Raw genomic sequence first — 12,399 nt, 5'->3', positions numbered from 1 at the left:
TTAAAAAAAATCTTAGAAGTGCCTTTTTTTTTCCTAATTAGAAACATTGATGTTAAGATGGGAGCTACAAATTTTGTTTATGTCTTAAATCTATACTAAAAAGGTGAACTAAAAATTAAATATATTAATAAGCTGCCATGAATGAAAAAGAGAAATCTTTGACCTAAAAATATGATGATTTAGTGTCTTCACTGATTGATTACTACTTGGCTCTTCTCTTCCTTCATTTAACTGAGGGAGGTTGAGAAAAAGAGCTTATTAACATTGAAAAGAAAAGCCTCAAAGTGTGCATTAAAGTAATAATTTGAAGAAATGTAAAAGTGGCTGAAACATACACTTTTTTCATAAATACACGTAAGAAGAAAAACTTAAAATGCCTTTGCATTTAACAGATTGAAAAGTTTAATTATTTGATATTTTAAAATGCTTTCTAATGCCAGAAATTGTCAACCTCACATATTTCCAATATTTATGTATTTGCCATGTCAGCTTATAGTTTCTGCAATGATTTATTTACTTGGGGTTTGTTTTTACTATTTCTTTTCTAAATTTGGTTACCCCAATTTCAATCTTCTGTTGTCATATAATGGCTTTTTAATCCTTATTTTTATTTTGAGCTTGTATTTTAAAGAGGAGAATAATAATAGTACATGATTACATTTACATTGGACATAATATTTACTGGCTACTGTGCCAAGCACTTTACTTTTATCAAATCATTTACTTCTTAAGAACCTATTATTGTCTTCCTCATTTTGCCAATGAGAAAATTGAAACATAGAAATGAAAGCAATCTTCCAGGTCATCCAGCCAATAAACTGCAAAACTAGAATGGAATCTATGCAGTCTAGATGAGCGTCAAACCACTACATATTGCTGCTTATTTAACTTTTTGGAAATAACTTAGGGTCTGTTTGAATTTTCCTTTTGCTTTCTGGCTTATATTATCGACTGGTGTGTAATGTCTTCTTCTCTGTCTCTCTCTCTCTCTCTCTCTCTCTGTTTGCTTGTGTGGGTGGTTCAGTGAATTAGTTTTGCTTAGTTCCATGCCGGTCCTTTCTTTCTTTTCTTTTCTTTTATTTTGCTTTCTTGCTTTCTTCTTTTTTGTTGGGGTCTTACTCTGTTGTCCAGGCTGGAGCATAGTGGTGCAATCAAGGCTCACTGCAGCCTCAATCTCCTGGGCTCAAGTGATCCTCCCACCTCAGCCTCTAGAGTAGTTGGGACTACAGGCATGCACCACCACATCCAGCTAATTTTTTATTTGTTATAGAGATGTGATCTCCCTATGTTGCCAAAGCTGGTCTTGAACTCTTAGACTCAAGCAGTCCTCCTGCCTCAGCCTCCCAAAGTGCTAGGATTACAGGCATGAGTCACTTTGTTGTTTCTCTTATAATGATTACTCATGTTTGAGTGAAGGAAACTTTTTAAAGATGAGTATTTTACAGAATTTTGAATGAGGGAGGAGAGGAATGAGCTTGAGGAATTGAAGAAATGAGCAGGCATCTTCAGCTTAGGTACCATGTCTCTGAACAATTTTTTTCCCCGCATCTACTTTGCTCTTTAACCTGGGTATGCACAGCCCTGTGTGGCCTTGGATATTTGAAGGTCAATCATCACTTTCAGTTGATCATGATCAGCAGCCGCAAACCCCTTTGCCATTGGCCCCTTCACCACTTTGCCATAATCACACCCTATATTCTTATGTGTCCATAAATTTCCTTCAGTCTGGGTGTCTCTGCTGCTCTGAGGTATAGAATCAGATTCAGGGAATCTCTTGAAGCTTGCCCATGACCTGGAGCTTCTTTTTTTCTGATAATGATCAGGGATGCACATGGGAGAAATCTGGTGCTATATGGGATCTATACAAATGGGGGTAACCTCCATTGATTTCACCCATATTTCTCTGACATTTGGAGCTGTTTCACAGAATTCATTGGCGGGAGTTGTGGCTATTTATTATATTTACTAAAGACAGTATTTTGTATGTGTTTTATTCCTTTTTTGTTTTATCTGGTGCAAGAGAGAATGGGGAAATTGTTCTCTGTTCATTTTTTTGGCTTATGGCAAGATGTCTTATGCTACTAACATGTTCACACTTCAGGAATGCCTATCAATGGCCTCCAAGCTCCCAACATCATAGGCTCTTTTCTGAAGTCATCCCTGGTGTTTGATGATGTCTCTCTGTCCTAATTTGAAATCCTGTTGTTGCTTAGTGGCGGTAAGAATAATTTCCCCTGCCTCTCCTCCTATCTCTGATTGTAACTATTTTGTCTTGCTTTTTGTCTGGCTTCCCTTCTTCTTCCTTCGATGCTGGTATTCTCCAGGCCTCTACCCTTGACTCTGTTGACTTGTTATGCAATATGCTGTCCTTCAGGGATTTCATCCCCTCTCATCAAACAGGTGCTTCAGCCCAGATTATCTACTATTCATTTCTACATTTATCTTACATTCCAAGACACTTTCCACTTCATGTCTCACAAGTGCCCCTTATATTATAAAGGGATGCAATTTTCTTTTCTGACAAACTTGTTCCTTCTTTATTTCATATGTTGGTTAATGGTATTGCTTTTCTCTCAGTTAAGCAAACCAGAGACTTAGTCTGTCCCTAGAGTTCTCATTTTCTGCATCCTGTTCCTCTTACATGACTCTATCCTGTGTTTCTGTTTTTGTGACGTCAGCCACATCTTTTTCTGTGCTACATTACGTAAGCCCAACTGCCTTAGTTTGAACCATCATCAGACATCATCTGCTCTAATGCAATTATGTCCTAATTTGCCTCCAAGTATCTGGTCTTACACCCCTCTGATCCACTCCCTTTCTCACTGCTGGAGGGATCTTTCTAATATTCAAAATGGATCACGTCACTTCTAAGATTTACTACTGCTGTGATTTCACTTCTCAGTTTTTCAGTTGCCTCCACTGTAAAATGCAGATAACAGTTATATTCCCTCATATTATTGTTTTCAAAATTAAGTGGGACACATCGGGAGAAGTGCCCAGTGCATAGTAAGTGTCTCCAAAATGCTCACGTCTCCTGTGGATGCCCTATGTTCCCTCAAATTGAAATCCTTTTCGTTTCCCATGCTCCCTCTCATCTCCACACATTTGCAGATGCTTTTTTCCTGGAAAATTTTCCCTCTTTATTCAACTGAATAATTTCTAGTCATCCCTTGGGACTCAATTTATCATCCCATCCTGAGAGACAATATCTCTGACACCTGAGTAGTAGATTCGGTGTCAATACTCTGTGCTCCCAAAGCATCCTTCATATCTTCAATCTGCTGATATCTTTAGCTAGACATTAGACATTGTGGGAATCTAGCATAGTACCTAGCTAGATACTAGATACGTGTAGAAATGCTTTGAATATCTTTGATTGAAGAAATAAAGATGTATTTTTAAAGGGCACAAAGTGTAGGCTTTTACTACTTTTAAAATTTTTAAATTTGACTATCTGTAATTTCACCCTAGAGATACATCACTGCAGCTCATTTATTTGCTGTACCTATGAAGAGAACCCAGCTCAGTGTTTCTAGTTCTGCCTGCTCTGATTCTCTGTAAAGTGCACGTGGACCCAATCAATGGAAAGGAATTCCTGCCTGCCTTGGGTATTACTAAGAAATTTCTTCTCATATAGCACTCTCTCACAGTATTGGAATTTTTTGCCTGTATTAACTTACATATCTAACTACCGGGTTAATCTGTGAGCCCCTTTTATTACTCGTGTTCTATCTTCAGCACCATGGTGGCTATTCTCGGTTGCTAACTCCTTCCCTCAGTTCTCTGGCTTACTGTGCCCTGCCTTGTGCCCTTGAAGGCTGACTGTGAATGATGTCACTTAGGCTCCCTTCTCTCTGGCTTCCCATTGAGTTCAGCCAATGAGAAGCATGGACGGGAGGTGGTGAGCAGGAGAGGAACGTTCAGGTAGTTTGTCTCCTGCTGCTTCCTAACTTCCCGCTGCTGTGGCTGCAAGCCTCTAAGACTACAGCTCCTGATGAGAAGCACTCCTTCCCCAGGCCACCATGGCTACACATCTAACCAGACTCTGGTTGTACATCTTTTCCTTTTGCCCCTCCAAGCCTAATAGTGAGATTCATGACTTTCTGAATTCTTACTGTTTTTTATCTTGGAGACTTGAAAAATCATTCTTGGCTTTTCTCAACTTTGCTCATACCTCTGTAAATAGTCTCTAACAATTTAGAGACTAAATAATCTCTTCCAAATCCCAGCTGAGAATTTCCAGGCTTCTGTTACCCAAAGAGATCATGTATGAAAATAAGTACCGTGTAGTGGCAGGCACAAAGAAAATGCTAAATGATAGTTTGTGAAACTAACAAACAAAAGAAATAAGTAAATGAATGGATGCTTAGTTCATTCAGCCCATCTGTTCTCAATGAAAATTCTGTCATTATCTTGGTTAAATAACCTGCCCAAGTAATATTAATAGTAGTCAATTATTGTGAGTCTTTGAGAACTTAATCCCTACTAACAAAGTACAATAACTGACAAAAATATCTCATTGGAACAAAACAATCTAACTTTTCATATTCTGTGGTACATTTCTTTCTTTTATAAAACTATCCACATTTTATGAAATCTATATGGTTTTTTGAGAGAGTAAACAGGGGAACATCTTGTTATTTGAAATGCATGTATAGGTGGAGACAAAGTTAGGTGAAGAGAAAATGGTGTTTTGGGCAATGCTGAGGTATTCAGTGTTAGAAGGCAAGAGTTGCTAATATTTAATAGAAAGTACATCTACTGAAGATTATATTTCAAGCTGCATATCTCTTAAATTGATTACATTAAAAAAGAATGCACATTGATAAGATATTTCACAAAAACTGTAAATTATCTCACAGTAGGGTAGTAGATCAGCTTATATATGCAAGCAAATAGTTGCTTACAGAGAAAACCAGAGGAAGGTAATTGTGAAAAGATCAAGAAAATATGATAGATGAGAAGGAAGAGACAGTTTCTAAAATCACTGAAACCTAAAACAAAAATCTCAGAACCAGTGTTAGGAAATCTAGGAAAAATTGGAATCTAGGACAAATGGAAAGATTACTTTAAATAATGAGTAATTTAAGTAATGAATATTTCTTTACTACTATTTATTTAGTAAATTACTAAACATTACTTTAAATGATGAGATTTTTTAATGCCTTTGCCCTGAAAGACTTCCTTAGTGTTCTAGATTCAAAACATAAACTGATTATCTAAAACTGAGACATAATATTTCTGATGATTTGACTAATATAGTAATTTAACAGTTATTTCAATGTGGTTTTCTTATTTTTGATAATTGAGGATAGTTGTTGAAAGCCAAGGGGATTCTATTACTGCAAAAAATATGTAAGTAGATCGATTTCTTTTTAGTTTACAGACTGGATTTCTATACCATGGTATTTATATTAGAGACAGGGGAACAATGCATTTTTCCTATAAAATATTTAAGACATCCATCACAGAAAATGCCATTCCGCAAAACCCTGTACAGATATACAAGCTATTTTATGTCACGACTACCACTTTAGAAAAAATGTCCCAAGAAGTGAGAAGGCAATTGCTATTTTTCTTTTCTCTCTCTCTCTCTTTAATTTTTACTCTGTGGGTATCTCTCTGTAAAAGATTTTAGGTGAAGATTATGTTTATTGTTATTTTGTGTTGTTCTTGTTACCAATGAGTAGATATGTTAACTATAGTAACTTTAGATGTGCACATTTTGTTTGAAAAGAATTATGGAAAACAATCAAGTAAGTTTGCCATTGAATTATATTTTTAAAGAAGAGGTTATACAAGTTAGATTTATCTAATCAAGAAATAGGTATATAGATTTAGATATTTCAATTTAAAATTCTAAACATATTTAATGAAAGAATAGGATTTTGCTGAGTTAATATTTGCTAGGGGAAACTAATTAATAGATTTCAGGAATCTTGTCTAGCTCTTCCTAAGATGATGTGAGGTGAATAAACTAATCAGTAATAAAGGTGATCATTTAATAGTTTATAGATTGACACGACTCTTAGAAAGGTTAAATTTTCCTCCATTAGTTTTTTTCTCATTAAATTTCTTTATGCCATTTTCTACAATGTGTTTTCTGACAAGCATTGAGTCATTGGTGCACGCAGGCAAACAGCCCATACATTCACCCCATAAACACAGATATGCGCTCACATTCACATGCGTGTAGAGACTCACAGAGGTTTCGGCTCTGAGGTGAGTCGATTTCAAGTTCATCTGTTCAGAAGGACACTTTCATTCTCAGCCGTCAGAATGCAGTGCAGTAAAGAGCCTCAGTGTGGAGCTCAACCACAGCCTACAGCAGAGGATCTTAGGGCCCTACCACCTTGGTGCAAGGTCATTCAAATTCCCTCCCTCGGTTTTTCTCTTTCTCCTTTATCCAACTGGGAATTCAACAATACAATCTTGAGTGGAGTCTTCAGACTATACCATTAGCTTATTGAACAACTGCACCTGCTTTTAAATTTTAATGATGCATTTTTAATATGATAAATGTAGTATACTTGAATGGTTTTATATGCAGGTCAGATAAACTATGATTTTTGTTACTCTTCAAATACTACTTTCCAAAGAATAGGCTTATAATTGTAAGGCTTATATAGTTACAGATGTACCTGTGGCTTAAAAATGACTGCTATTCTGTCTCAAGGAACAGAAAGTAGATGTTGAAAGCAAGTGTTTTAAAAATTTCATAAATTGAGACATTTTAACTTAGAATTCAAAAGAGTAAGAAATATGTTTTACCAATATTCTTGCTAATTGTGTTTAAGAAAACTTTAGTTTGCTGAAACAATATAAAGATGACATGTAGAGGTTGCCATGGAAACTATTCAGGACTCCATTTTTTCATGGCTTGTGGAAACAGAAATTGTGAAGGTTTGATATGGTAATTACCTGATTAAAACAGGAAATCATCTGGAAATCAGATTTATTTAAAAGTTGGGATCTCCTTACACATCCTAGACACCTTTAATCTTACAACTCCACAGGGAGTTTACAATGACCCAAAAGTAGAGATAAGGGGAAATAGTTCTATTTTTATGAAAGGCTATTTAATCTGCAAAATGAAATAGAAGATTGTGATGAAAGATTGAGGCAATTTCTCAGGTAATTAAAAAAGTTCTTTTAAATTACCCCAATTATCTGGATATTTCACAAGAAGAAAAGATGTTTGATTGGAATTAATAGGATATTAAACTAATTTCTGTAGTTTGGCTTATTTTTTAAAGCATGCTTTGGAACATATCATTGTTTTTGAAGTCTTATTTCTTTGTAAATTTAAAAACCTCTAGCATTGGTTAAGAAATATTTTATATTTTTTGAATAAGTAACATTCCTCCTTTGCTTTAAAATAGTTTTGTGTTCTTTCTGATATAATTGCTACTGATACATATGCTTTATTTTTGTGTGGCTCTTTTGAAGCCTTGCATATAGTTTAGAACTGCATAGGTAGCTAAAATCTGAAACAATCATATTAAACTCGTCTTCATTAAAAAAAGCATAGGAGGGATCAGAAAGCTTGTTTTCTGAAAAGAAGCATTAGCAAAATCACTTTAGTAAATCTAATGTGATATTACAATAGTTATTTGAAAATGGCTCAATTTAGTCTTGGCTTTCTCATAAAACATAACAGAAAGTCCTGTTGAATTTGTAAAGGTAGATTCTGAAAACACTCTGATATTCTTATATCAGAACTACTCATATACACACAAAGTTTTGGGTAATACAAGCAATTATAAAGGAAAAAAATCCAAATGTATTCTATATATTCAGAAAGACTAAGGATATAAAACTCATATGATAAGAATCTTGGATATTTGGGTGAGAAAATTCACCAGATGAGCATGCTATTTTTAAGACCAAAGAACAATAATACATTTAATCCAACAGCAATCTTATATACAGCCACTCCTATATCTATCCCTCTGTCACAGAATTTGGCAATGGTTCAGTATGAACTAAACCCTGAAGTTAATTTAGTAAATTGCCTAGCCCACAATAGTGGAAGGAACCAGGAAATTAGACGGGACTAACAAATAGTGTGATGGATGTCACATGTAACAATATCTATCATCAGTTTGTGAGATATTAATCCCAAATAATTTGTGTTACTATTTGAAAACACTTTAAATCTTATTTTATATGTTTAAACTAATTCATTGATTGATTGTGCAAACCACCCATTTTTAGAAAACAAAATCAACCTTTTATCAAATGGCTGAACTAGAAAATAGTAGTGAAGTGATCATCCTCTTGACATTAAGGGACCTGGGTTCCAGTTGTCCTTTAGCAGACACGACACGGGAGCCTCCGTTCTCTCACTTGGGTTAGAGTCAATAATATCAAAGTTTTTTTCAGCTCTATAATTCCTTGAAAGTGAAACTATTTACATTTCTAGTACTGCACATATTAGTCAACATCACTGTCAATCATTTGTGGGTTTTGTCATCTCCACTTGTCTGTGCCCTTTTCCCAAGCAGGAATTGTACCATTTCATTTCAGCATACTCAGAGCTGAACACCAGGCCTGGCACATAGGCATAACCTGATAAGATGTGATGAATGTATATACACAACTGTTATTCTTCTAATAAACGTAAATAGTTCAATGAGTATCACATTGCAGATCCTTATGGAAACCAATCAGCTAAATGCACTGTGACTCATTTTTACTATATAGAAGGGGTAAAATGTGTCCTTTACTAGGAATAGCAATAAAACTGCATTCCTAATTCATGTATGCAGAGTCCTGTAAAAGATAGACTTCAGGAAGCATCACAGAGAGGTTGGTAAACATTGTATAGAGACCATGGATGAGATTACCCTCTGGACACGAGGGAAAGATGAAATTCTAGGATCCATGTGTACCCTGGCCTCTTTGCTGAGATTACAAATGTGTGCACATTTGCTCCTGTGTGCTTTTGAGCATTAATTTACTAGAAACTGAATTGAGTCCAAAATCTATTTCTATTCTGGCAGTGTAGCATGCCAGAATTTTTTTTTCTTTATGTACTTTTGGCATATGTTCAATTATAATTAATTCTTTAAAATAATATTTCAGTTCCATTCTGGCTTAAAGACGTTAAGTCTCACCAATATTTATTTGCACAAATAAGGACCTAGTTCATGCCTAAAAAGCAGTAAAAGTGACAGCTGATTTTGGGGTAGTGGTAAGAGGAAGGGGGAATTGTCAAGTACAACGTATGACTCCAGGAGGCTCCTATTTATACTTGAAACATAGTGTGATTTAATGTAAATAGGATATTATTGATATGCAGCCCACACACCACTGCCTGAAATTATGGTTTTTATAATTTGTTTCCTTTTGTGTTTTCAATATCCACCATTAGACCATGAGCTCTGTTTTATCTTCTGCTTTATCCCCAGTGTCTGTTTACTCAATGAGTATTTACTGAGTGAATGAATACAGTCATTCGTCTATAGAATACTTACTGTGTGCAATATTGTTTTAGTGACTTGGGGGATTAAAAATAAATCATAAAGATACTCACTTATGTAAAAGTGACCACTAGTTTACTTATAATAATTAGTAAAGCCTAAAGAACAATTTATAATGAAATACAGAAGAATTGTGCAAAATGATTTTTTTCTTTCTTAGTAAGGGTGTTGAGATAACACAGGGTTTAGAGACAGATGTCTTCACGTAGGCACTGGGACTTGAACATAGCCTTGATGACATGTTGTATATTATATGTATATTACAATATGGGGTAGCCGCGAACTAAGAAGTGATACTAGATGTTCTATCTTTTGGGACAGTAAGGAGTTTTCTTTGACTAAAGTAGATGGTGTAAATGGAAAGTAGTTTGGAGATTAGCATGGGTACCATTACAAAGGTCCTTTAAAAAGATAACGACATTTGTTTCTGATTTAGTAGACAAATGAGTGATATAATGAAGATGGCATTTTAGGGAAATGAATGTAGCAGTAATGTTTAGGATCATTTGAAATGTTGGTGGAGTCTGAAATCTGGGTGATTATTTTAAGAGAAATAATAGCAGTAATTCATATATTAGATCATAGGGGCATAATGGCATAGTCAGAATGGAGAAAGAGACTCCAGAAGACATTATAAAGAATCAGACACTTTGAAGTAACTGGAGTAGATGAAGGGAAGTGATATGTCAAAGGTGATTAGAAGGTTTCGATTCAGAGTGATAGGGAGAATATGGTATCTATTGTAAGAGAAGTGTAGAGGGAAAACTAGTTTTGAGGGAGAGGATAGAACTGGATTTTTGGATAGACACAGCTGGAATCACATGGGCAAATCTGCTTGCCATCATTGCATAATATTAATTAACTCAACGTTGTTTATTGAGCACTACCCTGTGCTGGATAGCATGCTAAGCAGTAGCAACCCAACAGTGAAAAACAAATAGATATTCCCTGCCTTCAGGGAAGGAGGTGATATCCAACTAAGATCTTTGGAGTAAGGGAGAGTGAATCGGCCAAAGGGAAAGAGTGGAACAGCATCCGAGACAAGATGGGTAGTACATATAAAAGCTTGAGGGCAGAGAGAGTCCAGCATATTGTAAGGGGTTAGCTTAGTATGGCCGGAGGATGCATAGTGGCACCTTCTCCTAAATTCATATGATTCTATTTTTGTTCTCTCATCTTGGTATATGTCATTCATAGTAGTGCACAAAAAACAGATCAGTTTCTTAGGGGAAAATTGAAATAAGTATATTAATTACTTAAACATAATGAATTATATATAAGTATTACAAGTTTACATAAAAATAAATAACCTCAGATATTTTTGGTTAAGAAAGACTTACGAAATCATCTATCTTTTTCACCGAAGTGGCACTATGTGGCCTCCTGGTTATATAAAGGTCCCATTTAGCCCCTTAGGAGAAAAGGGTAGCAGAATCTTCTGTACCCTAATAAAAGCCCTGCAAAACACAACTTGATATGTTAAATATGGGGAAGGAAAAAAATTGCAAATGGCGTACAAGAACCTTTTGGAGAATAAGAGATTGAACCCTCAAATTGCTGATCTCTGGGGTTAAAAGGGAAATCCATTAAGGTGGACTTGGGTGGCTAAGATTCAAGCTGTAGGTAGGAGAAGACATCAATAGCTTCAAAAGGGACCTTTAATCTAGTGACCTACGCATAATCCAAAGTTCTCAGTACTGAGAAGGAGGGTGAACCTATACCTGTGTGGTGGGACTGGGGTTCATTAGGACTAAGAACGCCTGGCATTATATTGTGCTTACAGGAAAATGAATGCATATATGAATGTAAACTTGGCATAGCTTGAGGCCCAGAGCAGTCATGGAAGAGTATCTGGTAGACTGTCCAAGAACAGTTTTCAACAATGGTGCATGTGGAAATAGCAACAGTAGTGAACGGAACAGATTCTCCATTTCCTTTTTGTGGAGGGGTTTAACAAATGAGTTGGCTGCTTTGGTCCCACTGTGGCTCGGGATGATTGGACAGTCAGAGACCAAGGAGGCCTCAAAGAAGAGACTGAACTTTCTGCTTAAAAGAGTGATGTTTGGGTTTTCAAAATATTAACAGGAAGAGCCAAAAAGATGTGTCTGTAACTACTTCATAGGATTGCTGTGAGGATTTAACTAATTCAGACCTAACATTTAGACCTGTGCATGGTATAGGTTAAGTACTCAATACTGAGAACTTGATTTGGTGAAATAGCTCAACCTGGAAATAAACAGATAGACAGGTAGATAGATAGATAGATAGATAGATAGATAGATAGATAGATAGATAGATAGAGATTACCAAAATATACTTATCTCAATAGAGAAACTATTTGGAAAGGAATATCAAAATTTGTTCTGATGGGTATGAAATAAAAACCAACAAGTTAGTCTTAAATTTTTTTAGCTGAGACACCTGTATGGATGATAATCCCAAAGGAACCATGGCGATTAAGTCCAAGTGGTGAAATTTTTCTGTGCTCTGGGCAGCTCCTAGGTGGGTGGGACTAATGTTCATCTCCATCACTCCTTTTCCTCAACAACTGAGGCTGCCAACTTACTCCCACTTTCATGTTTTGTATTTTCTTTCTTGAGACATGTTAACATGTTCAACTAGGAATTGTCCAGGCTCGTACACCTGGAAGCAATTCTGTTTCTGTGTCTGAAAATTAACCTTAGGGTTATGAGGCATGCCAACATGACTTATTATGACCATCCTCCACAGACATGGAAGAGAGAAAGAGGAAGAAGCTGAATCGAGCAAAGAGGAGAGCTCCAGGAGGGCAGTGATTACATATCTTTCCTGTAATAGGTTTTAAGTCATAAACTTATTAGATGGGCTTGAGAGAAAGCCTTGCTGTATAATATGACAGAGCTTCTGGTGGTAGCACTTTGAGGGTGAAATGTTT

The sequence above is a fragment of the Homo sapiens genome, chromosome 13, assembly GCF_000001405.40.
Source record: "Homo sapiens chromosome 13, GRCh38.p14 Primary Assembly".
Classification (NCBI taxonomy): Eukaryota; Metazoa; Chordata; class Mammalia; order Primates; family Hominidae; genus Homo; species Homo sapiens.
The sequence above is the reverse complement of the archived record's forward strand: the minus strand, read 5'-3'. Positions refer to the sequence as shown.